The sequence below is a fragment of the Homo sapiens genome, chromosome 12 (assembly GCF_000001405.40).
Source record: "Homo sapiens chromosome 12, GRCh38.p14 Primary Assembly".
NCBI lineage: Eukaryota > Metazoa > Chordata > Mammalia > Primates > Hominidae > Homo > Homo sapiens.
The window spans coordinates 31,362,635-31,389,144 of NC_000012.12; the positions used below are offsets into that span (position 1 = coordinate 31,362,635).

Genomic DNA, 26,510 nt, shown 5'->3' on the forward strand with positions numbered 1-26,510 from the left:
AGAGGCCTTCCTCAGACCTCAGGGTTTCGGCAGGGATAGTGGGTGACCTGTGTGCTGGCTCTCCAGAAACTGAAAGCAGCAAGAGACACTTGGGCTCCTTTTTTAGTTTTTCTGGTTTGTTTTGTTTTGTTTTTTTGCAGGCACTCGGTGGTTAGCTGGAAATAAAGGTGGAGGAACTGGGCAGTTCAAAGGCAGAGACGGCTTCCCCCACCCCCACCTCACCTCCCCTTTCATTCAGAAAAGCCACAAAAGCGTGGCCCCAGGGTGTGTGTGAAAGGAGGGAGGAGTGACTCCACCTAGCTCCTCTGGAGTAAAGAGAGGCTGTGGGCCTGGTGTCGTGCGTGCATGCCTGCATGTGCCTGTGTGTGTGCATGCTTGCCTGGTGCTCAAGGGTCAGGGGAAGCTGGCTGAGAAGACTGAGGAGATGGAGGGAGGTGGAGGGAAGTGTAATAGAAGGAGGTGGAGGAAGGTGGCTGCCATAGAGCTTTGGCTCTGGCTGGCCTGAGTCTCTTCCTGAAGTTGCAGCTGCACTTTGGGGCCAGGCGCTGTTGACACTGTGGGTATAAACATGTGGCCAGCAGCAGAATAGAGACTCAGAGTCTTGAGAAAGAAAGTGGTGACTTCCCACTCCTCCTTCCTTCTTTCCTGTACAGAGTCTGCCATCTGGGGGCAGAGATATGGGCAAGCCCTCATTATAATACTAGCAGTGAAGGGCTGGGCATGACAGGTGGAAACACCACTGACTCTAGAACTCAGAGCATGGAATTTGGTATGGTGGCAGGCAGGGGTCCAGAGGTAGTATTTGTTATCTATTGCTGTGTAACGAATTAGCTTAAGGTATAGCAGTTCAAGAGAAGAAATGTTTATTATCTCACAATTTCTTTGGGTCAGAAATACAGGTGTGGTTTAGCTGAATGCTTTCTGGCTGAAGGTGTTTCAGGACGTTACAGTCATGCCACCAGCTGGGGCTGCCAACTCATCTGAAGGCTCAACACAGGGGGACCGGAGTCCAAGCTCCCTCACATGGTCACCAGCAGGATTCAGTTCCTCGAAGGCTGTCATTTAGAGGCCTCCCTCCGTCCCTCCTTACAGGTCCTTCTCACAGGGCACTTCGTGACATGGCAGCTGACTTTCTGGGGACCATCCAAGTGAGAAAGAGCCCTTAGAAAGAAGTGACAGTCTTTATATAACCTAATCTCAGAAGTGACAACTCATCCCTTCTACAAGGTTCTATTATTCAAAATTGCATCTGTAAATCCAGCTCACTCAAGGGAAAGGGATTACTAGGAGATAGGGGTCACTGGGGGCCATTCTAGAGGCTCCCTGTCACAGCATCCAAGCTGAGACCTACAGAATGACAGGAGTTCACCAGGCAGGGAGGCAGGAGGGAGTTGGGGGACGGCAGGTGCAGTGAACCATGGTTGTAACTCAGTATGGCTGCACAGAGAGCACTGCCTGAGGGTGAGCAGTGCTGTGGAGAGGCCAGCAGGGCCCAGAACTTGTACCATCTTTTAACCCAGGTTTGTAAGGGTGGACTTTATCCTGCAAGCATGAAGATCCTAAAGCTTGAGGCTAACGGTTAAGATTTGGCTTTAGAAAGATTACACTGCTGGCCCAGCTCAGTGGCTCACGCCTGTAATCCCAGCATTTTGGGAGGCTGAGGTGGGCGGATCACCTGAGGTCAGGAGTTCGAGACCAGCCTGGCCAACATGGTGAAACCCTGGTTCTCCTAAAAATACAAAAAAATTAGCTGGGCATGGTGGTGGGTGCTTGTAATCCCAGCTATGCGGGAGGCTGAGGCAGGAGAATCGCCTGAACCCGGGAGGTGGAGGAGGTTGCAGTGAGCCAAGATGGCACCGCTGCACTCCAGCCTGGGTGACAGAGTGAGACTGTATCTGAAAGAAAGGAAAGGGAAAAAAAAGAAAGAAAAAAAAAAGAAAAGAAAAGAAGGAAGGTTATCACTGCTGTGGGGAGAATGGATTGAAGAGAGTAAAAGAGCAGAGGAAGGCCAGCTGGCGGGTGCGGCAGGTGGGGGGATTGAACTGAGGTGCTGGAGAGGCTGAATGGCTGGCAGCAGCGCTGCTGCAGAGCTGGCGTCCCTGGGTGTAGGAACTGACTGCTTATGTCCGTCTTCCTCCTCTGGAACATAAGCTCAATGAGGACAGGGATTCTTGTTTGTAGTCTCTGGTATCCCCAGCGTTTAGGACAGTGGCACTAGATGAATGACTAGGACACCCCAAGGTTTCTGGCTTGAGTAACTGGGTGGAGCTATTCTCTAAGCTGTGAGGCACAGAGGGCAAACATGGACAGAAACTTAATATTTGAGAAATACTGAGTTTGAGGTGCTTTGTAGGCCATCTGAGAATAAATGCCTCGTAGGCAGTTGACATGCGGGGATCTGGAAAGCCTCTTAAAGAAATGGTGAGAGATGGAGACTTGAAAATCCAAGCACCTAGACGCCCGTGATGGGAGTAGTTAACATGGCCCTGGGACCCTTTCCCAGAGTTTCTAGGACACCTTACGCAGCAACAGTGCTTGCTTTGAAAGATAGTAAAGGAAGAAAGTCTTGCCAATTGTCATTCACAAAAGAAAGTCAAAAATATGTTGCCAGAGAGGACAGGAGAAAGCCAGGAATCACGGGAAGCCAGAAGAGAGCTTCGAGTACTATGAGAACAGCACAGTAGGTTAGGTAAGGACTGAAAGGAGGCCGGTGAGTTGAAGCCCACTGTGGGTGGGGAGGAAGGAGAAAAGGAATGTTTTCCAGAAATGCAAAGCATTACTTAATATTTATTTTATTTTATTTTTTTGAGATGGAGTCTGGCTCTGTTGCCCAGGCTGGAGTGCAGTGGCACGATCTCTGCTCACTGCAACCTCTGCCTCCCGGGTTCAAGTGATTCTCCTGCCTCAGCCTCCAGAGTAGCTGGGATTACAGGCGCCCACCAACATGGCTGGCTAATTTTTGTATTTTTAGTAGAGATGGGGTTTCACCGTATTAGCCAGGCTGGTCTCGAACTCCTGACCTTGTGATCCACCTGCCTCAGCCTCCCAAAGTGCTGGGATTACAGGCGTGAGCCACCATACCCGGCCTATTTTATATTATATTTATTTTATTTTATATTTTTTGCTCTGTTGCTCAGGCCGAAGTGCAGTGGTACAATCATGGCTCACTACAGCCTCCACCTCCTGATTCTCAAGCAATCCTCCCACCCCAGCCTCCCAGAGTGCTGAGATTACAGGTGTGAGCCACCACACCTGGCCTCCATTACTTAAAAATGTTTTAAAGGCTGGACACAGTGGCTCACGCCTCTAATCCCAGCACTTTGGGAGGCTGAGGCAGGAGGATCACCTGCAGTCAGGAGTTTGAGAGCAGCCTGGCCAGCATGGTGAAACCCCGTCTCTACTAAAAAATACAAAAATTAGCTGGGCGTGGTGGTGGGTGCCTGTAAACCCAGCTACTTGGGAGGCTGAGTCTGGAGAATTGTTTGAACCTGGGAGGCAGAGGTTGCAATGAGTGGAGATCATGCCATTGCACTCCAGCCTGGGCAACAGAGTGAAACTCCGCCTCAAAAAAAAAAAAAATTAAAACTGTCACTTCCAAACACCATTAAAAAACAAAGTGCCTGATTCGGCCGTACATGTACTAAAATTGGAACACTGGAACGGTAACAGAGAAGATTAGCATGGCTCCTGCACAAAGATGACACGCAAATTCATCAAGCATTCCTTTTTTTTTTTTTTTTGGAGACAGTGTTTCACTCCTATCACCAAGGCTGGACTACAGTGGCGTGATCTCAGCTCACTGCAACCTCCACCTCCCGGGCTCAATGGATTCTTCTGCCTCAGCCTCTGGAGTAGCTGGGACTATAGGCATGCACCACTGTGCCCGGCTAATTTTTGTATTTTTGGTAGAGACGGGGTTTCACTATGTTACCCAGGCTGGTTTCAAACTACTGAGCTCAAGCGATCCACCCGCCTCAGTCTCCTAAAGTGCTGGGATTACAGGCGCGAGCCACTGTGCCCAGCCTCATACTTTTTATATTCATTTTGAAAAAAACCAAACATACAAAATATAGATAAGCATTTAGATCACAAGTTCCCCAAACTGGTCTTTGTAGCAGCAATTTAGGAATCACCTGGGTGGTTTTTAAAAATACATATTCTGCCGGGCACGGTGGCTCACTTTGGGAGGCCGAGGCGGGCGGATCATGAGGTCAGGAGATCGAGACCATCCTGGCCAACACGGTGAAACCCCATCTCTACTAAAAATACAAAAAAATTAGCCGGGCATGGTGGCGGGCGCCTGTAATCCCAGCTACTCGGGAGACTGAGGCAGGAGAATGTCATGAATCCAGGAGGCAGAGCTTGCAGTGAGCGGAGATCGAGCCACTGCACTCCAGCCTGGGCGACAAGTGAGACTCTGTCTCAAAAAAACAAAACAAAACAAAAAAAAACCAGATTCTGGGTTTGCCCCAATTCCATAAAATTAACCTCTCAAGGGTGAAGCAGGAGAAACTATTTTTTAATGTGCCAAGTGACTTTGAAGTGTGACAAGCTTTTTAAACATTTTATTTGGAGTTTTCTGCTTTTATTATTTTTAATTGACACATAATAATTGTATATATTTATGCGGTACCATGTGAGATTTTGATATAGGCATACAATGTGTAATGATCTAATCAGGGTAATTAACATATCCATCACCTCAAAGAGTTTTGACATCACTCATTTAAACCTCTAAGAAATACTTTTCAGCTGGGCGCAGTAGCTCACGCCTGTAACCCCAGCACTTTGGGAGGCCGAGGCGGGTGGATCACCTGAGGTCAGGAGTTCGAAACCAGCCTGACCAACATGGAGAAACCCCATCTCTACTAAAAATACAAAATTAGCCAGGCATGGTGGCACATGCCTGTAAGCCCAGCTACTCGAAAGGCTGAGGCAGGAGAATCACTTGAACCCGGGAGGCAGAGGTTGCGGTGAGCCGAGATTGCGCCATTGCACTCCAGCCTGGGCAACAAGAGCAAAACTCCTTGGCCGGGTGCGGTGGCTCACGCCTGTAATCCCAGCACTTTGGGAGACCGAGGCGGGCGGATCACCTGAGGTCAGGAGTTCGAGACCAGCCTGACCAACACGGTGAAACCCCATCTCTACTAAAAATACAAAATTAGCCGGTCATGGTGGCACATGCCTGTAATCCCAGCTACTTGGGAGGCTGAGGCAGGAAAATTGCTTGAACCCGGGAGGCGGAGGTTGCAGTGAGCTGAGATCGCACCACTGCACTCTAGCCTGGGTGACAGAGCGAGACTCCATCTCAAAAACAAAACAAAACAGAAAACAAGAGCAAAACTCCGTCTCAAAAAAAAAAAAAGAAATACTCATTTTTCTTTGACTTTAAGCCCTTTTAGAATAAATAAAGCGGTACAAAATATTCATAGATTACTAAACTGTTAGAAGCCAATTGTTAAATTTAAGACTTTAATAGGGAACTTAAAGCAATCAAGAAAATAAACTCTCCACAAAGTTTTAAAAAACAACTATAAAATACATCCTGTAGGCCGGGTACAGTGGCTCAATCCCAGCACTTTGGGAGACCGAGGCAGGCGGATCACCTGAGGTCAGGAGTTCGAGACCAGCTTGACCAATATGGAGAAATCCCTTCTCTACTAAAAATACAAAATTAGCCAGGTGTGGTGGCGCATGCCTGTAATCCCAGCTACTCGGGAAGCTGAGGCAGGAGAATCACTTGAACCCAGGAGATGGAGGTTGCGGTGAGCTGAGATTGTACCACTGCATTCCAGCCTGGGCAACAAGAGCGAAATTCTGTCTCAAAAAAAAAAAAAAAAAATCCTGTAGGTTTGTTATCAAGAAAATGCTGATGACTATAATTAGGATTATAAATTTAGTTGAGAGTGAGAGCTAGATTAGTAAATAAAATTGTCTATAAACATTTGTAAATCAGTCATCCTCCTGGGTACGGTTTGTAAAAGAACCCAGTGCTTAAGTGAAGAGCAGGGACAGCTCCTGGCTCTGGATGGGGGAGAAGTCTTCCTTGTTTCATAGTCAAGGAAAGCTCCCAGCTGACCATCACCCTCTTCTCTTGGAAAACGCCACACCTACCTTCTTGCCATTCCTAGAGCGATTTTCCAGCCTGAGTGGTATGACTGCTTCCATTTCCTCGCCACTCTTGTTTGTCCCTGGCAGTTCACTTTGATTCTCAAAAGTCCATTAAAACCCCTTCCAGGTCCTCCGGGATCCCTGGCCATGTAAGCTCTGCCACCAACAGCAGCCTTTCTAGTACAAAGTCTCTAGAGCTTTCCACAGCCTCTGGCTTGGTCTCTCCCTCTCCAGGCTGGCCACAGGCCCCCAGGGACCTATCTGCCATCTCTTGGAAATATCTTTCTAAATTCCCCACTCCCCCTCCTGCCTTTCCACGACTTTGAGTTGCAATAGTTTGCCCAGTTCCCCTTTTCCTTGTAGTCTTTAAAGATAAGTCCACAGGTTTTTCATTTGTTTATAAGATTTACTCTCCATCAGGAAATGAAAATAAACATAGGGAAGCTGATAAGTCACAGCTCCCCACCCCCAGCCGTTGTTCCGGGGAAGCCTCTCTAGCAAGGCTCAGATGTTTCCATCTTAAGGTTAAATCACACCAAACAATAGAAGCCCTTTGGTTTCACCTCAGTGGGCGGGATGTGCCTCCTTTCATGGATCTCCTGCCCCACACAGGATTTCTCTGGACTCCTTAGAGTGTTTCTTCAAAACTAGTTCAATCTCGATCTAATTAGTCCCCAAAGAGATGCAAACCAAACGAGATGCGATTTTTGTTCTATTAGGAGGGCACAAAAATAAAAAATAAAAATTAAGCCTGATAATAGCCTGTTTGGGCCAGCTTGCTGGGAAGCGGACTCATTTTTATACTGCTGGAGGGGTTCGGAATCAAGAATCTTAAATATGTGCATCCCCTTCAATCCAGTAATCCCACTTCTAGGAAAATATCCTGAGGAGATAATCAAGATGTGCAGTCAAGAATTTATGAACAAAAGATACTCACTGCAGAGCCATAATTGAGAAGAACTGGAAAGGACTTAACATGCCTCCCAGGTGGGGCTTGGCTCTGCAAATCCTCATCTGACTCTATGATGGAATGGGATGCATCCGGTCATGCAGTCATCCGTGCGACAAATAGTTCTTCAGTACCTACTCTGCGTTAGGTAAACAATGCAGAGTATTGTTAACTTGGCTGGGTAAACAGGTAAGTTCTCAGCCCCCCTGGAAAATCCATGATCTCCTAAAGTAAAGCAATTTAAAATTGTTCACATTATTTGTGTGTGAGTGTGAGGGGGCGCTTTATCACCCTCCACCTCTCATCCCCCCACCACAAGCAGTTGCCAAATTCAAATAATTTTTCCTTCAATGCCTCTCCCGTGTGACCGCTCCTTTTCTTTCAAAAGTAAATCCTATGTCTGGGAGGTAACCCGATCACCGCGGAAAGAACGCCGACATGGAAATCTTAGGATTGGTTTCTCGTTCCAGGAAGTTGCGCTACTTTGGGCAAATCACGTCACCTCTGGGACTGTTTCTAATCAGAATAAAGAAAGGGCTGGACCAATCTTTCAGATCCTTTGAATCCAATCATTTTTGGCCTTATGACGGAACCGTCTGTAGATGAGGGCATCTGAATCCTAGTTAAAGGGAAGGGACGGTGAAGCCCTTGAAGATCTGGGGCATATTTCCTGAACACCAAAACGGGAAAGGGCTGTCTAGAGTGAAAGTATAAGACAGACAGGCCCTGTTCCAGGAAGCTCCCTGCACTCTGCTCTTCTCCTCAAGCCGACCCCAAACTCACAGCCAGCTTTAGCAAGCAGGCCCGTCATCCTTCCAGGTGCTATGTAATATTAAGAAGCAGCAGCTAACAATTATTAGTGCTACTAGGGGCAGGAGATTTGCAGTTCCCTCGCTTTCACACAAAAGTATGAGGTCTGTTTTATTATTCCCACTCTAAAGGCAAAATGGAAGCTCACGGAGATTACAGAACTTATGGGAAGTGACAGGGCTATTTGCCACGTTTATACTGGCCAGTCTTCCTCTTTTTCTCAAAGGGTGGGGTGGGAGAGCAGCCTCCCGTGTTATCACCCTCTCCTGCGGCAGAAGACAGAAGCATAGGTCATTTTGGTAGTACGGGTTTGTTGATTACCAACTGGGAGACAGAGGTGAGGTAAATCACAAGCATGGATGTTAGCAGGGCTGCAGAAGTTTATAAATAAATGATCTTAGAATCTCCAGCAGCCCCATTCTTTCATTTGGTAACCGGCCTCCTCCCTGCCCTCATCCCTGTAGCGCCCTTCCCCCATGAGGGTGAAGGGTCAGCTCTAAAAATGCAGTCAGGAAGGAACAATGAGAGTCCTCTCCCCGCCTGGGAGAAATGCAATTTGCATCTCAGATGAGCTCAGATTGGTGAAGCCTCGTTTGGACTCTGATCCTTGCAGTAAGGATCTGCTCTGGGAATCTCCTGTGACCTGTTGAGGTTTGCTGCTCCAAAGGAATAAGGAGTCTTTGACATTAATGTCCATTTAACTCAGGGATCTAAAAAGGCAGGTTAGTGTTAGAGTTCTATAGGCACCCCAGAATTGTACCTAAGAGTGTGTGTGTGCGTGCATATGTGTGTTTTCCTGGGGATGGTGTAGCTTTCCTTAGATTGTCAAAGGAATTTATAGCTGCCCAAAGGTTAAAAACTTGTGTGACAAGTGAGTGTGATAAAGGAGGAACAGTGGTGCAGATCCTGTGGGAGGGGAGAATGACTTAACAAACCCAGAGGTGGGGGTGGGAGGGAAAGAATTCAGGTGAGACTGCACTCAGAGGTAGGATTCCTTTTTCTTTTTTGTAGGTAACATTTTTTGTTTTCTTACTGTGTGCCAGGCATTGTTCTAAACTAAATATACAAGGCCAGGCGCAGTGGCTCACTCCTGTAATCCCAGCACTTTGGGAAGCCGAGGTGGGTGGGTCACTTGAGGTCAGGAGTTCGAGACCAGTCTGGTCAACATAGTGAAACCCCGGCTCTACTAAAAATAGAAAAATTAACCAGGTGGCTCGTGCCTGTAGTCCCAGCTGCTCGGGAGGCTGAGAGAGGAGAATCTCTTGAACCCCGGAGGAGGATGTTGCAGTGAGCTGAGATTGCACCACTGCACTCCAGCCTAGGCAACTGAGAAGACTCTGTCTCAAAAAAAAAAAAAAAAAAAAAAAAAAGACAAATACGTAAACTAAAATCTATGAGAATTAGGTAATTCTCTCTCTTTTTTTTTTTTTTGCCAGAGTTTTGCTCTTGTCGCCCAGGCTGGAGTGCAGTGGTGTGATCTTGGCTTACCGCAACCTCCGCCTCCCGGGTTCAAGTGATTCTCCTGCCTCAGCCTCCCAAGTAGCTGGAATTACAGGTGCGCACCACTAGGCCCGGCTGATTTTTGTATTTTTTTAGTAGAGACGGGGTTACACCATGTTGGCCAGGCTGGTCTTGAACTCCTGAACTCAGGTGATCCACCTGCCTTGGCCTCCCAAATTTCTGGGATGACAGAAGTGAGCCACCGCGCCCGGCCTAATTTTTTTTTTTTTTTTTTTAAGAGACGGAGACTTGCTCTGTTGCCAGGCTGGAGTGCAGTGGCGCCATCTTGGCTTACTGCAAGCTCCACCTCCCAGGTTCAAGTGATTCTCCTGCCTCAGCCTCCCAAGTAGCTGGAATTACAGGTGCGCACCACTAGGTCTGGCTGATTTTTGTATTTTTTTAGTAGAGACGGGGTTACACCATGTTGGCCAGACTGGTCTTGAACTCCTGACCTCAGGTGATCCACCTGCCTTGGCCTCCCAAATTTCTGGGATGACAGGAGTGAGCCACCGTGCCCAGCCTAATTTTTTTTTTTTTAGAGATGGAGTCTCACTCTGTTGCCAGGCTGGAGTGCAGTGGCGCGATCTCGGCTCACTGCAAGCTCCACCTCCTGGGTTTAAGTGATTCTCCTGCCTCAGCCTCCCAAGTAGCTGGGACTACTGGCTGGCGCCACCACGCCCAGCTAATTTGTATTTTTAGTAAAGATGGGGTTTCACCATGTTGGCCAGGATGGTCTCCATCTCTTGACGTCGTGATCTGCCCGCCTCGGCCTCCCAAAGTGCTTGGATTACAGGTGTGAGCCACTGAGCCTGGCCTAAATTTTAAACTATTTGTAGAGACAGGGTCTCGCTATGTTGCTCAGAATGTTCTCAAACTCCTGAGCTCAAGCAATCCTCCTGCCTTGGCCTCCTGAAGTGCTGGGATTAAAGGCATGACCCACTGTGTCCAGCCTTTTGTGGGCTTTTTGACATCCTTTTATGTTTTTCTTTGGTGAAGTGCCTATTCAAATCATTTGCACGCTTTTTTTTTTTTTTGAGATGGAGTCTTGCTCTGTCCCCCAGGCTGGAGTGCAGTGATGCGATCTCGGCTCACTGCAAGCTCCGCCTCCTGGGTTCACGCCATTCTCCTGCCTCAGCCTCCCGAGTAGCTGGGACTACAGGCGCCGGTCACCACGCCCGGCTAATTTTTTTTTTTGTATTTTTAGTAGAGACAGGGTTTCACCGTGTTAGCCAGGATGGTCTTGATCTGCTGACCTCGTGATCTGCCCATCTCGGCCTCCCAAAGTGCTGGGATTACAGGCATGAGTGAGCCACTGCGCCCGGCCATTTGCCCTTTTTTTGTTGTTGGGCTGTTTATCTTATTATTGCATTTTGAGGGTTCATTATATACTCTGGATACAAGCCCTTTGCCAGATATGTGTGTTGCTAATATTCTCTACCAGTCTGTGGCTTATCTTTGCATTCTCCTAAATTTCTTTCAGAGAGCATACATTCTGGTAGAAGAGTACTTAGTCCTGGGCCTGGCAGATTTATTTCTTTCAGGACCCAAGGCCTCTGCTGCAAACATGTTCCACCAGATCTTTGGTCAGAATAAGAAGCATATGAGCTTGATCATTGTTATGGTCACAACTTTTGTATCCCCTCAAAATTCGTACATTGAAACCTAATCTCCAATGTGATAGTATTAAGAGTTGGGGTCATTTGAGAGGTGATGAATGGGCTTCACGCCCTTATAAGAGGGCCAAAGGAGATTGTTTACCCCTTCCACCATGTGAGTGCACAGCTGTAAGGCACCGTCTGTGAGGAATAGGCTCTCACCAGATACTAGCACCTTGGCTCTTGGACTTCCCAGCCTCCACAATTATGTCTGTTTTTTGTTTTGTTTTGTTTTGTTTTTGAGACAGAGTTTGCTCTTGTTGCCCAGGCTAGAGTGCAGTGGCACAATCTCAGCTCACAGCAACCTCTTCCTCCCAGGTTCAAGCAATTCTCCAGTCTCAGCCTCCCGAGTAGCTGGGATTACAGCCACCCGTCACCAAGCCCAACTAATTTTTGTATTTTTAGTAGAGATGGGGTTTCATCATATTGGTCAGGCTGGTCTCAAACTCCTGACTTCATGTGATCCGCCCACCTCAGCCTCCCAAAGTGCTGGGATTACAGGCATGAGCCACCACACCCGACCTGTTGTTTATTCTTTATAAGTCATCCCGCATATGGTATTTTTTTCTTTTCTTTTTTTGAGACAGGGTCTTGCTCTGTTACCCAGGCTGGAGTACAGTGGCATGATCATGGCTCATTGCAGCTTCAACCTCCTGAGTTCAAACAATGCTCCCACCTCAGCTTTCCAAGTATCTGGGACAACAGGTGCATGACACCATGCCTGGCCAATTTTTTGATATTTGTAGAAATGGGGTCTCCCTATGTTGCCCAGGCTGGTATTTTCTTATAGAAGCCTGAATGAACAAAGACACTGTCCATCTTTTTCTTTTTTCTTTTTTTTTTTTGAGACAGAGTCTTGCTCTGTCACCCAGGCTGGAGTGCAGTGGTGCAGTCTTGGCTCACTGCAACCTCCGCCTCCTGGGTTCAAGCGATTCTCCTGCCTCAGCGACCCAAGTAGCTGGGATTGCAGGCAAGCGCCACCACACACGGCTAATTTCTGTATTTTTAGTAGAGACTGGATTTCGCCATGTTGGCCAGGCTGGTCTTGAACTCCTGACCTCAGGTGATCCACCTGCCTTGGCCTCTCAAAGTGCTGGGATTACAGGTGTGAGCCACTGCGCCTGGCCCATCTTTTTTTTTTTCTTTTCTTTTTGTAGAGAGAGAGAGACAGACAGAGTTTTGCCGTGTTGCTCAGGCTGATCTCAAACTCCTGGCCTCAAGTGATCCTCCCACCTTGGCCTCCCAAAGGATATAATCCCATGCCTGGAATTACAGGCATGAAACACCATGCCTGGCCATTCTTAATTTTATGACATCCTCACACTTGTAATCTCAGCACTTTTGGAGGCCAAGGCAGGTGGATCAACTGAGGTCAGGAGTTCGAGACCAGCCTTGCCAACATGGTGAAACTCCGTCTCTACTAAAAATAACAAAAATTAGCTGGGTGTGGTGGCTAGTGCCTGTAATCCCAGCTACTCGGGTGGCTGAGGCACAAGAATCACTTAAACTGGGAGGCAGAGGCTGCAGTGAGCTGAGATCACACCACTGCACTCTAGCCTGGGAGACAGAGCCAGGCTTTGTCTCAAAAAAAAAAAAAAAGAAAAAAGTTTTGTGAAGTCCACTTTATCAAGTTTTTATTTTATGTACTGCATTTTCTTGTTGTATCTAAGAAATCTTTGGTGAAAAAGATTTTCCCTGTGTTTTATTTTATTTGTTTCAGTGTCTCGCTCTGTCACCCAGGCTGGAGTGCAGTAGTATGATCTCAGCTTAATGCAACCTCCGACTCCTGGGTTCAAGTGATTCTCCTGCCTCAGCCTCCTGAGTAGTTTGGGATTACAGGCCCTTGCCACCACGCCCAGCTAATTTTTTCACCTAATTTTTGTATTTTTTGGTAGAGATGGGGTTTTATCACGTTGACTAGGCTGCTCTCAAAAGTACTGACCTCAAGTGATAAGCCTGCCTTGGGCTCCCAAAGTGCTGGGATTACAGGCATGAGCCACTGTGCCCGGCCTGACCAATCTTGATAAATGATTTTTGTGTACTTGGAAAGAATGCATATTCTGCTGTTGTTTTGTTGGAATTTTTTTTTTTTTTTTTTTTAGATGGAGTCTCGCTCTGTTACCCAGGCTGGAGTGCAGTGACACGATCTCAGCTCACTGCAACCTCTGCCTCCTGGGTTCAAGCAGTTCTCCTGCCTCAGTCTCCTGAGTAGCTAGACTACAAGCGCACACCACCATGCCTGGCTAATTTTTGTATTTTTACTGGAGATGGGGTTTCACCATGCTGGCCAGGCTGGTCTTGAGCTCCTGACCTCGTGATCCACCTGCCTCGGCCTCCCAAAGTGCTGGGATTACAGGCGTGAGCCACTGTGCCCGGCCCTGATTTTCTATTCTATCAATTATTGACAACAGGATCTGACTATAATTGAAGATTTGTCTATTTCTCATTGATTCCATCAGGCTTTTTTCCTTCTTCATGTTTTGAAGCTTTTTTTTTTTTTGAGACGGAGTCTTGCTCTGTCACCCAGGCTGGAGTGCAGTGGCGCCATCTCGGCTCACTGCAAGCTCCGCCTCCCGCGTTCACGCCATTCTTCTGCCTCAGCCTCCCCAGCAGCTGGGACTACAGGCGCACGCCGCCACGTCCGGCTAATGTTTTTGTATTTTTAGTATAGACGGAGTTTCACCGTGTTAGCCAGGATGGTCTGGATCTCCTGACCTTGTGATCCGCCCGGCTCGGCCTTCCAAAGTAGGGGGATTACAGGCGTGAGCCACTGCGCCCAGCCTTTTTGTTATTTTTGAATAGGATATAAGTGAGAAATTCAAGAAAGTTTTGAGGCATTTAAGAACACAGGTTGGCCAGGCGCAGTGGCTCACGCCTGTAATCCTAGCACTTTGGGAGGCCGAGACAGGTGGATCACTTGAGGTCAGGAGTTTGAAACCAGCCTGGCCAACATGGTGAAACCCTGTCTCTGCTAAAAATACAAAGAAAATTAGCTGGGTGTGGTGGTGTATGCCTGTAATCCCAGCTACTTGGGATGCTGAGGCAGGAGAATTGCTTGAACCTGGGAGGCAGAGGTTGCAGTGAGCTGAGATCATGCCACTGCACTCTAGCCTGGGCGACAGGGCGACTCCGTCTCAAAAAAAAAAAAAAAAAAAAGAACACAGGCTATGGGTTAAGCAAATGATAGACCTCAAGCTTATATTATTCTAGAGAACAGGGAGCATCTGGCCCACGCACCAGCCCTCATTTGAGTGACTTATTTTTAGGCTTTGCAACCCACATTAATTGCTCTTTTTTTTTCCTTTTTTCAACATGTTCTAAAATCGTATATATTTGAATCAAAGTACAGTACATGTCAGGATAAAGAATCAAAAGAATTATCAAAAATATTAGGTTGAATCCTATGGAGTTGTTAACATTTGCCTTTGACCTTTAAAAGAGGTAATTTCTAGGCCGGGCGCGGTGGCTCATGCCTGTAATCCCAGCACTTTGGGAGGCCGAGGTGGGCGGATCACCTGAGGTCGGGAGTTTGAGACCAGCCTGACCAACATGGAGAAACCCCGTCTCTACTAAAAATACAAAATTAGCCGGGCGTGGTGGCGCATGCCATAATCCCAGCTACTAGGGGGGCTGAGACAGGAGAATCGCTTGAACCTGGGAGGCAGAGGTTGCGATGAGCCGAGATCATGCCATTGCACTCCAGCCTGGGCAACAAGAGCGAAACTCCATCTTTAAATAAATAAATAAATAAATAAATAAATAAAAGAGGTAATTTCTTACAAAATAAGGATGTTTGTTCATTATAGTTTTTTTGGAATAGAGAAACATTGGGAGCTATTTAGATGTCTTTCTTTTCTATTTATTTATTTATTTAGTAGAGAGACAGGGTCTTAGTATGTTCCCCAGGCTGGTCTTGAACTCCTGGGCTCCAGTGATCCTCCTGCCTCATCTTCCCAAAGTGCTGGGATTACGGGTTGAGTCACCGTGCCTGTAACGTTTTTCATCGTAACATTGTTCAGAATAGTGAAAAAAATGAGAGTAATCTAAATGTCAAACAAATCATGCCACATCCATATCACAAAATTAAAATCAATGTTTTAGATTTAATAACTCAATCCCTTTGTGTTCTCATGAACACATGATTTAATATTGGTTTCATGACATTAAGTTCCATTTATACATGCTGGAAACTCCCAAATTTATATCTAAAGTCCAGCTATAGCTCCCCAAATCCAGACCAAGACATTGAATTTCCTCTGTGGTGTCCCAGCAAGTTCTGGAGTATGGCACCTCCTCATGGATGTGTCCTTGGCACCTGGGGGCAGATTCCAAACAAGTCCACTTATTTTAAATGTCTCAGTAAACTCATTTTTATTTTTTTGAGACTGGGTCTCACTCTATTGCCCAGACAGGAGTGCAGTGGCACGATCTCGGCTCACTGCAACCTTCACCTCTGGGGCTCAAGCAATCCTCTCACCTCAGCCCTGCAGGTAGCTGGGAACACAGGCACGTGCCACCACGCCAGGCTAATATTTTGTATTTTTAGTAGAGACGGGGTTTTGCTATGTTGCCCAGGCTAGTCTCGAACTCCTAGGCTCAAGCAATCCGACTGCCTCAGCCTCCCACAGTGTTGAGATTACAGGTGTGAGCCGCTGTGCCCAGCCTCAGTAAACTTCTTTGCCACCCAGAGAGAAGGTTGTACCCTCTGTCAGGGTCTGGTTCAACCTCAGGCAGAGGGGGCTCATTTAGATTTGCCTTGACTCAGGCCTATCGGTTTTTTTTGTTTTTTGTTTTTGTTTTTGTTTTGGGGGGGACGGAGTCTCACTCTGTTGCCCAGGCTGGAGTGTAGTGGTGTGATCTCTGCTCACAGCAACCTCTGCCTCCTGGGTTCAAGCGATTCCCCTGCCTCAGCCTCCAGAGTAGCTGGGACTACAGGCATGCGCCACTATGCCTGGCTAAGTTTTTTAATTTTTAGTAGAGATGGGGTTTCACCATGTTAGCCATGATGATCTCGATCTCCTGACCTCGTGATCCGCCCGCCTCAGCCTCCCAAAGTGCTGGGATTACAGATGTGAGCCACGGCGCCCAGCCAACTCAGCCCTATAGTTAATGGCTGTTCCCTATAAATGTTTTTCTTATATTAAGAGTTTTGTTTTCATCACCTGGCATCAGATCCTCCATTATTCCAATTTCTTGTTATTGTTTGTGATAGGTAATCTTAGTTCAACTTAACTGGGCCAGGGTGCCCAGAAACTTGGTCAAACATTATTCTGGATACTACTATGAAGGTGTTTTTGGATGAGATTAATGGTTTTGTTTTTTGTTTTTTTTTGTGATGGAGCCTTGCTCTGTCACCCAGGCTGGAGTGCTGTGGCATGATCTCGGCTCACTGCAACCTTTGCCTCCTGGGTTCAAGCGATTCTCCTGCCTCAGCCTCCTGAGTAGCTGGGATTACAGGCGTGTGCCATCATGCCCATCTAATTTTTGTATTTTTAGTAGAGGCGACGTTTCACCATGTTGGTGAGGCTGGTCTCGAACTCCTGACCCTGTGATCCACCCACCTCGGCCTCCCAAAGTGCTGGGATTACAGTGCCTGGCGAGATTAACATTTTAATTGGTGGACTTCGAGTAAAGCAAATTACTATCCGTAATATGGGTGGGCCTCATCCAGTTTAAGGAGTTAATATAAAAAAGACTGACTTCCTCCTGAGCAAGAAGAAATTCTGCCAGCAGACTGCCTTTTGGCTTGAACTGTCTCTTCCCTGAGTCTCCAACCTGATGGCCCACAATAAAGATTTAGACTCCCCAGGCCTCCACAATTGTGTGAGCCAATTCCTTAAAATGTTTCTCTATCTATAACATATCCTATTAGTTCTGTTTCTCTGGAGAACCCTAATACATTATACTTTTTTTTTTTTTTTTGAGACAGTCCCTCTCTGTTGCCCAGGCTGGAGTGCAGTGGTGCGATCTCGGCTCACTGCAACCTCCGCCTCCCGGCTTCAAGCAATTCTCCTCCCTCAGCCTCCAGAGTAGCTGGGGTTACAGGCACGCGCCACCACGCCTGGCTACTTTTTGTATTTTTAGTAGAGATAGGGTTTCACCATGTTGTTCAGGCTGGTCTCAAACTCCTGACCTCATGATCTACCCACCTTGGCCTCCCAAAGTGCTGGGATTACAGGCGTGACCCACCACGCCCAGCCTACATTATTCTTTACATTCAACTACCCCAGTTCAAATTGCTGTGTGGTTTCTGTCTCCTGATTGGACCGTGATGAATACACTATTATTCTCTCCTGAACTCCCAATCCATATGTGCAGATGCTTACCCAGCATCTCTATCTGGATGTCTAAAAGGTGTCTCAAAAGCATCGCAAATTTGTTATCCCCAAAAGTAGCTCTTGATGCTCCTCCCACAAACTTTTCTTTTCTTTTTTTCCTTTTTTTTTTTTGAGATGAAGTCTCGCTCTTGTCCCCCAGTCTGAAGTGCAATGGTGCGATCTTGGCTTACTGCAACCTCCACCTCCCGGGTTCAAGTGATTCTCCAGCCTCAGCCTCTCGAGTAGCTGGGATTACAAGTGTGTACCACCACGCCCAGCTAGTTTTTTGTATTTTTAGTAGAGACGGGGTTTCACCATGTTGGCCAGGCTGGTCCTGAACTCCTGACTTCAGGTGATCCGCCTGCCTTGGCCTCCCAGAGTGCTGGGATTACAGGCATGAGCCACCGTGCCCAGCCAAACTTGTTTTCTTTTACAGCTTTTCCAATCTCAGTTAAAGGCAACTCCATTTTTCAGTAAGGCCTTCCCTAGCAACCCATTAATTGTAGTCAGCAGCCCCAACTATACTTTCAATCCCTCTTCTCTGCTGTTATTTTATTTTTTATTTTTATTTTTTTGAGCAGATTCTCACTCTATTGTCCAGGCTGGAGTGCAGTTGCATGATCTCGGCTCACTGTAGCCTCTGCCTCCCATGTTCAAGCAATTCTTCTGCCTCAGTCTCCCCAGTAGCTGGAATTACAGGCGCCCACCACTAAACCTGGCTAATATTTGTATTTTTAGTAGAGATGAGGTTTCACCATGTTGGTCAGGCTGGTCTTGAACTCCTGGCCTCAAGAGATCTGCCTGCCTCAGCCTCCCAAACTGTTGGGATTACAGGCATGAGCCACCACACCCGGCCATTTGCTATTATTATTTATTTTTTTTTGAGACAGTCTTGCTCTGTCACCCAGGCTGGAGTGCAGTGGCACAATCTTGGCTCACTGCAACCTCCGCCTCCCAGGTTCAAGCAATTCTTCTGCCTCAACCTCCCGAGTAGCTGGGATTACAGGTGCATGCCACCACGCCTGGCTAATTTTTGTATTTTTAGTAAAGACGTTTTCACCATGTTGGCCAGGCTGGTCTCGAACTCCTGACCTTGTGATCCACCCTCCATGGCCTCCCAAAGTGCTGGGATTACAGGCGTGAGCCACTGCATCCCGCCACTATTATTGCTATCTAATTACTATATTTATTACGTATGTTTATTATGTAACTCCTCCACTGGAATATAAACTATGAGAGCAATAATTTAACGTGTATTTTAGGGCCGGGCACAGTGGCTCACGCCTGTAATCCCAGCACTTTGGGAGGCCGAGTTGGGCAGATCACGAGGTCAGGAGATCGAGACCATCCTGGCTAATATGGTGAAACCCCATCTCTACTAAAAATACAAAAAATTAGCCAGGCATGGTGGCACGCACCTGTAGTCCCAGCTACTCGTGAGGCTGAGACAGGAGAATCACTTGAACCTGGGAGGTGGAAGTTGCAGTGAGCCAAGATTGCACCACTGCACTCCAGCCTGGTGACAGAGTGAGACTCCGTCTCAAAAAAAAAAAAAAAAAAAAAAAAAAAAAGAATTTCATGGTTTTTGTTTTGTTTTTTTGAGATGAAGTCTCACTCCTGTCCCCCACGCTGTAGTGCAGTGGCATGATCTCAGCTACTGCAACCTCCGCCTCCCGGGTTCAAGCGATTCTCCTGCCTCAGCCTCCCGAGTAGCTGGGATTACAGGCACCTGTCACCACACCCAGCTAATTTTTGTATTTTTAGGAGAGACAGGGTTTTGCCATGTTGGCCAGGCTGGTCTTGAACTCCTGACCTCAAGTGATGCACTCGCCTTGGCCTCCCAAAATGCTGGGATTACAGGCCTTCTCCTTTTTAATGATATATTTTGATGACCAGAAATTCTTAATTTTTATATAGTCAATTTTTTTATAGCAAAACACCTGTGAACATAGTCAAATTTATCACTTATCCTTTATAATTTAAATGTCTTAAGAAAACTTCCCTTTCCCAAGTTAATAAGTACATTTTGTATTTTCTCCTAAAAATTATGTTTCATCTTTCACATTTAGGTTGCTAAGCCACCAAGAATTGATTTTTCTGTATGGTGTGAGGTAGGGTTCAAATTTTCACCCCTTACTCAGAAGGCTCTTTTTTTCTACATAATGGTTTTGGTTTGATCTCTCTGCTTTCTGAAGTCTCTTATCCTATGAAACACTATCAAGATTCTACAACAATGAAGCAAAACAAAGTATCAATCCCACAGTTTTATTTGTAAAGAACAAAGCATGAAAAGTCATATTTAAATGTACTCCCAAACCTGAAAAACCCACGTCAGTTTGTCTGATATGTATGTTAAAGTGCTTAATATCACAATACTCTTTCAAATTTTATATTATGTTCAGATGAGAAAAAAAATCCAGTTCTGATGCATTTTGCTAACAATACAAAGAAAAACAATATAATTTAAATTCAGAAAAGCTAATTAAAAAAAAGATACACAGGTTACATTTATACATGGTTCAAGTGTAACACAGAGCATTCTAAATGTTTCACACCCTCATTTGATTGACAACAGGAACTCCTTACTATACTTCTCTACTGTTGACAAGATTTGGTGTTTAGAATCAAGATTGGATTCACACACAAGTACATTCAGGTAAATTAGAACAAATATGATTCCCTCCTACATAACCCAAGGATACCCTGGATCCCTTCGAATGAGGAAAAATTTTATTTGAGGTTTTTTTTTTTTCCTCTAGCTTGATGTGATATATCTCTGAAGTCAATCTTTATCTTGTCCTTGAGAGGGTGAACAGCTCCAATCAGATTTTGGAGAGGAGGTTCTCCTTAGATTCTTTTGATCACACTACATCAGCAACCTCTTCAAAAAGCTTAGAATTCAGTTGATTCAAGGGATTTATAAATTTATTTTAATAGGAATAAAGGACCTAGTAGTTTATTATCCTTTTCTGTCTCCTATTTATGCTAAACAGTAAAGTAATAAATACTTATATAAGAAACAGACTTCAAAAGACATGGATGACTTGGAAATAGGATTCACTTTATAAAAGTAGAGAAGGGCTCAAGACTCTCAATCAGTGAAGGTGTGTTAATACTGAAATATAAATAGCTAAAGTTCAGATTGTCTTTTCAACATAGTGAAAAGGATACACTAGTTTCTGTAAACCTCACAGAAAATATTCACAGTTCCCTAAATGAAAAATTGTAATCTTTAGCAGAAAGAAGATATTTCATTATGAAGAGCTACACTCCTAATGTTGTGAAATAAATATTTCCCTGGAAATTTGAGGTCCTTGTCTGTCACCTCATGTTTCAAAATACCTTAGGGATGTCAACATATACTACACATAAGCTGTTGTATAGTCTTGAACCTCTTTTTCACTTACATTTACATATAACAGTGCTTTATTGCCAAAAAAGGAAATATGAGCAGTTCAGTATTTCCCCCATATCATTCATATAGTGTGATAGAAGTTCATTAAAATAATTTTTTAAAAAGCCATGTGAAAGTAAATACCACAAGGTTACAAAAGGTACAAAAATGTGTGAAACATTTAAATTTCAGAGGGAAATCCACACTTCTGCAAGGTTGAAGTTTCTCATATCAAATTCTCATTCCCAGTGGAAAACAAGGTGGGGAGGGTTGGGAGGTTTTTGTCCTCAGTAGCCTGCTTTTTCCCACGTAGGACTCCACTTTATACTACTTCACACTGACTCGCAGTCATTTTTAAGGCATATGACTCCCGACCAGGGCACAGATCTCACACATGCTTCCAACATCAGTGTAATGCCACTGTGTCATAAAGGTCAAGATTAGGGGTTTCATGACATATGAAAAACTTTGGGAAAATAAATTTTTCAAGAGGTAATACTTTTGGCAATTTAATTTTAAAACAACTTCTTCACCAGCTATTACTATGCAAAAATAATCATTATGGTCCCAGCATTTAATTTATTTGCAGGAAAAAAACAAATTAAATATTGATTTTTTTATTTACTTTGAGATGTAATCCTAAAGCAATGTATTAATTTAAAAAATTACCACAGCAGAAAAGATGCCTCTATGTGGGTATGGTCCTTCCAAAAGTCAGCTTAAAAGTCAAGCATTTATTCTAAGCATTCTGCTACTACTGTTGTGCTCAAACTTTTGGTATAACTTAGAGACACTTATGAGCCACATAAAAACTAAGTCCTTTGTTTTGTTTTTTTGAGATGGGGTTTCCCTATGTTACCCAGGCTGGACTCAAACTCCTGGGTTGAAGTGATCCTCCTGCCTTGGCTTCCCAAGCAGCTGGGACTACAGGTGTGTACTGCCATGCCCAACATGTCTTATTTCTTTATAACTGCACTTCTTATGTGACCCCAAACTCAGCTTAAGCATCCTTTTCATTGATCAAACTTGGATCCTAAGGACTATTTCCAAATATTTAAATTTATTCTTAAAGGCCAAGATTGACTGCCATTGGGAATATTCAAAAGAATGGGGGTACTGGCCATTCAAGCAGCTCACACAAGGAGGGCCCCACATGTTTATAGCACAGGCTGTATCAACGGAATAAGTACATGGGCTCACAAGGTGACTGAAGGACCCATCATCCAAGAGGATGTGTCAGTTCTGATGTGTTTTTTTTAAATCATCATTTCACCATTATAGTAATATTACACAAAGGCATGAAGATGAAACTTCAGGTGTAACTTTTTTGGGGGTATTACTTTTTAAAGTAATGGTTTTATTCATAGGCCGCAAATCCAACTTTGGCTGCAGTTTTTTTCTTTTTTTTTTTTTGAGACGGAGTCTCGCTCTTGTCACCCAGGTTGGAGTGCAGTGGCACAATCTCGGCTCACTGCAACCTCCACCTCCTGTGTTTAAACGATTCTCCTGCTTCAGCCTCCTGAGTAGCTGGAATTACAGGCCCTGCCACCACCCCCCCGCTAATTTTTGTCTATTTTTTTTTTTTAGTAGAGACGGGGTTTCACCATGTTGGCCAGTCTGGTCTTGAACTCCCGACTGACCTCAGATGAACCACCCGCCTCAGACTCCCAAAGTGTCAGGATTACAGGCGTTAGCCACCGTACCTGGCCTGCTCCCAGTTTTTACAAGATGTTAATTCCCAATAATCTGAGAGCAATGTGTTAATATGAATATTAATTCTTCTAAATGAATATTCATCCTTATTTCCTACTTGTATAGGTGGATGAATAAAGATCCAATAGTATAATAGAAAGACTATTAGTAAGAATGCCGGAAGGTCAGTCTCATGCAGCCTGGTGAAATAAAACAAACAAACAAACATGAATTCTAGAGCTTGTGTTGTCAGTAACCAGCTGTGGGGTAAGTGTAAGATTTAATCTCTCTATTCCTTAAGTGTTCCCATCCACAAAGTAAGAAGGCTGGATGAGGTGTGTCAATCCTAGCACATTAACCTAAGTCATCCCCCAGGTTGCCTAGACCTGTCAGGAGCATGGCCTTATGAAGATACAAACATGAAATCCTGGGTTGGACCCCTCTATAGTTTCTGATCACCAAACACAGTAGGAGCCCAGTGTAAAACAGGTTCTGGATATCTCCCACGATAAACTTCCCATGTCCCTGGAAGAGCTGTACCATTGTAGACACACTTTAGCTTCAGGCAAACAAATTTCTGGTGTACCCAGAACCATTTTCTTAAACCATTTCCATGGGTTTTTATTTTTATCTATTTATTTTTTGAGATGGAGTCTTGCTCTGTTGCCCAGGCTGGAGGGCAGTGGCGCGATCTCAGCTTACTGCAAGCTCCGCCTCGCGGGTTCACGCCATTCTCCTGCCTCAGCCTCCTGTACAGGCACCCGCCACCACGCCCGGCTAATTTTTTGTATTTTTAGTAGAGACGGGGTTTCACGGTGTTAGCCAGGAGGGTCTCAATCTCCTGACCTTGTGATCCGCCTGCCTCGGCCTCCCAAAGTGCTGGGATCATAGGCGTGAGCCACCGCACCCGGCTCCATGGGTTTTTAAATACAGCTGTCAACTCTCCTTTTCCTCAAGTATGAAGTCACATGTTAAAAGAGGCTGTCCTTGGCTGTGTTTGATAAAGGGAGTTAGGCACTTGTTTCATCTGTTTCTTCCTCCAGGAAATAAGGTTAACAACACAGGTGGTGAAAGCCCAGCAACCTCCGATTGCACAAGGATACTGATGCCATGGCTTTGCTTTTCAGCCACAACTGGGAATAAAACTGGGAGCTCTGCTGAGGCAATTTTGCTGCTAAAAATGTACAAATGCCTAATTAGAGTTACAGGACCTACCAGAAGATGAGGACTTACAGTAACTAGCCAATACTACATTTACTTAACTTCTTTATAAACTATCAAACTGGAAAGTTACTCACAACTTTTGGTCTTTCAAAATTGTTGCCACCTCTTGCTTTGCTTCCATTTTGTCAGCCTGTGCTGCCAGTGGCTTTTAGCTTCTCTGGGTCAGTTGTTTTACATTATTACTCCCCTTCCTACAAAGGAACGTAAAGCTTGCCCTGAAACACCCAGAAAGGGTTCATTCTCTCTCTCCTTCTGTTATTTGCATTATCATGGTCAACAAATGCTTTCACAAAAACATTCCAAGCCACACACAGCCCTCCTCCTCCTTAGACATTCCTTCCATTTCCCGAGGGGGGATGGGCCCTGGAGAGGTGGGTGATTAGACCCTAACAAAGACAGGGCTCATGGTTATCCTTAAGAGGTAGACCACTGCACAGTTTAGATGGCCAAATTAAAAGTACAGAATCAAATTGCTGTTTGCAGTTCTTATCACTATGAATCTAACACTGAAATTCACATCTTCCCAAAGTACCTCAAATAACAAGAATAAAAATGCCAAGAATGAAGTTAGTCTAGGCTAATCTTTCCGAAGTGTAAAGAAGTTATAATCCCACAATTGAACACATTTCTCAGAGCTTTGTATGTTCTCTTTCCAGTTCAGCCAAGCTCCTGGGGTCTAGTGTTTAAAATACTCCAATTATATCATCTTGTGCGGACTGAAATTTTTTTCCAAAAGACTGGAAAAGTGACTAGCGATTCAAATATATAAAACAGTTTGTAACTTAAAAGATAGAAGTGAAGACTACCAGTACAGTAGGTAAAGCTGTGTGCATCCACAATACAAAGGATCAGACTCCAAGATGGATGGCTACTACATAACAATGCATTCTGGGTTTCTTTGTGATACCTGGAGAAAAAAAAAAGCCCGACTGGGTTGCACTATATTTACATGTTTACTGGCTTCTTCCTGGCTAGCACCACTCTTCCCCCCAACCCCCAACATTTTTAAGCTACTTATTTTAAGTCACAGGAATATTCAATCTAAGAAAAGCATCTTATTAGAGTAATATAATTTCTTAAAGAAGATAGCATATTTACACACATCTAACACATGAAAATACTCTATTTTATACTAAATTCCAGGTTCAAATGAACTACAATACAACATTTTGCCTTGTCTGTAGAGTGAGGATTGTTCCAAATGGGGCATATGTTTGGCTGCCCCTGCAGTGACTCACTACTGTCAGACAAGTCCAAATCGGTCCCCTAGTTGGGGAAGGAGCAAGGTTTGGACTGAGAGTTTCTAGCCAGTTGGGTTACACATCCACTCCTTTGATGAGTGATCCTTCTAGGACTATGGTGAAGTCCTGAATGGTCTGCAGAATTCGGATAAGGGAGTTGACAGTCATGCGGTCTCGCAGGAGAGCGCTCTCTTCATACATTCGAGTGATGGCAGGACACTCAGCTAACAATGGAATCCACTGTGGGAGCAGGCGATCCCTACAGACCCAAACAGAAACAATTCCTGAGCATTGCTGGCCTCGCTGCAGAACAAGGCACACAGTGGAGTCTGTATGAATGGGAAGGTGTGGGACTTGATGGTACAAAATGTATCCAAGCTAAGAGGTCAGGAGAGAGGAAATCAAAGCCAAGAAGTTGAATATTTTCTGGTAAAAAGACAGTGATGAGACAGTGTAAAGAAAGCTAAAGGGAAAACCCATTATTTTAAACCCAATTTAATGTACTTTAAGAGTTTAAAGTACATTAGAAAGTCTATGCACATTAAAGACATTCTCTATTCTGATTTTACCACCTTTAGAAAGAGGCAGAATGTCATTTTCTATGTCTTTTTTTTTAATAGGAGTGTTACTCTGTGGCAAGGCATGCCACAGTATACTGACCTTTTGGAAGAAAGACTACACTAAACTGTAGGGACTTGCTTTTTTTTTTTTTTTTTTTTTTAACTTATATAACATAACAGGGTGAGGAACAAAATCAAAGCAGAAAAACATTAAGTAGATTTTATAAACCAGATGAGAGTTTGCAATGGTCTAATAAATCAGAAGAGTATAGAGATAAAAGGAGATAAAGATCATGCTCAAAAGAAACTTTAAAAGCACAGCTAAAACTGGGCTCCTTTTATGAAGAAGAAATACAGAACTTAGTTCTGTAAACCAGCTGTTTCAGGAAGATAAAACCTCACATCTTCAATGTTTCCTGATCAAACCTGACATTAGTAACCCATTGCTAAGTTCCTAAGACATCCTTATTGAGCATCCCCAATCAGGCCATCTTCAGTCTCAAGTTGGGGCTCTTAAGGTTCAGGAAAAAACAAATACTACATGGGTAACTTAAAAAAAGAAATCTAAAGGTCTGTATGTTTCATTTCTTACAATTCTGAGATCTGTTTTAAAAGTAATGGATTGTATCGCTCCTATGTGCCACTTTCAAAAAATAAAGGGGTAGGAAATAGTCTTAAAGAGAAGATGATATTTATATAGCAAGAATCCCATAATGTTATTAAATGTAAATATAGTGGTATATATACACTATATAAGGTTTACTTAGTAAATATGTACAGTGTATGTGTCTAGTTATCTAACAACTTCCTTATTACCTATCTATCTGTCGAGCCAGTATACAGTCATGGTGGAGAGCTTGGGCTCTGAAGTGGGACAGGGTGTGAACCTGGCTCTGTCTCATTTTTCTGTGTGATCTTGGGAAAGTCTGCTAACTTACGTGTGCCTCATCTATTTTCTACTTTCTCATCTTTAAAATGAAAAAATCGGTTGCTACCTCATGTAGTGGTGGTGGTGAATTAAAGAAACCCAAGGGAGGAGGCAGAGGTTGCAGTGAGC

General features: G+C 44.8%; 1 protein-coding gene, 1 long non-coding RNA gene and 1 other non-coding gene across 25 annotated transcripts in view, besides 3 other annotated features; 1 reads left to right on the forward strand and 2 right to left on the reverse strand.

Annotated features, from left to right (window-relative positions):
• Window positions 1-846: 846 nt before the first annotated feature.
• On the reverse strand, window positions 847-6,667 carry LINC02387 (long intergenic non-protein coding RNA 2387). Its single transcript, NR_146469.1, has 2 exons — window positions 6,115-6,667; window positions 847-1,161 (listed from the first exon to the last, which is right to left on the reverse strand). It is a non-coding gene; the product is annotated as a long intergenic non-protein coding RNA 2387 (long non-coding RNA).
• Window positions 1,885-2,384: an enhancer, noted in NCBI's record as "H3K4me1 hESC enhancer chr12:31517453-31517952 (GRCh37/hg19 assembly coordinates)". NCBI's record gives its function as "activates a minimal SCP1, AML or CMV promoter by ChIP-STARR-seq in naive H9 embryonic stem cells {active_cell/tissue: H9 hESC(naive)}" and the evidence as "EXISTENCE:reporter gene assay evidence [ECO:0000049][PMID:30033119]".
• On the forward strand, window positions 3,630-3,732 carry LOC124903091 (U6 spliceosomal RNA). The gene has a single exon (XR_007063617.1). It is a non-coding gene; the product is annotated as a U6 spliceosomal RNA (small nuclear RNA).
• Window positions 7,708-8,315: an enhancer, noted in NCBI's record as "OCT4-NANOG-H3K27ac-H3K4me1 hESC enhancer chr12:31523276-31523883 (GRCh37/hg19 assembly coordinates)". NCBI's record gives its function as "activates a minimal SCP1, AML or CMV promoter by ChIP-STARR-seq in primed H9 embryonic stem cells {active_cell/tissue: H9 hESC(primed)}" and the evidence as "EXISTENCE:reporter gene assay evidence [ECO:0000049][PMID:30033119]".
• Window positions 8,316-8,924: an enhancer, noted in NCBI's record as "OCT4-NANOG-H3K27ac-H3K4me1 hESC enhancer chr12:31523884-31524492 (GRCh37/hg19 assembly coordinates)". NCBI's record gives its function as "activates a minimal SCP1, AML or CMV promoter by ChIP-STARR-seq in primed H9 embryonic stem cells {active_cell/tissue: H9 hESC(primed)}" and the evidence as "EXISTENCE:reporter gene assay evidence [ECO:0000049][PMID:30033119]".
• The window catches only part of DENND5B (DENN domain containing 5B), a 208,911-nt gene continuing 201,992 nt past the window's right edge, over window positions 19,592-26,510 (reverse strand). For all 23 annotated transcript variants that reach the window (XM_047428429.1, XM_047428424.1, XM_047428430.1 and 20 more), the window contains one exon: window positions 19,592-25,152. In XM_047428429.1, the coding sequence (XP_047284385.1) occupies window positions 24,969-25,152 (184 nt within the window). In that variant the 3' untranslated portion in view covers window positions 19,592-24,968. The remainder of the gene's footprint in view (window positions 25,153-26,510) is intronic.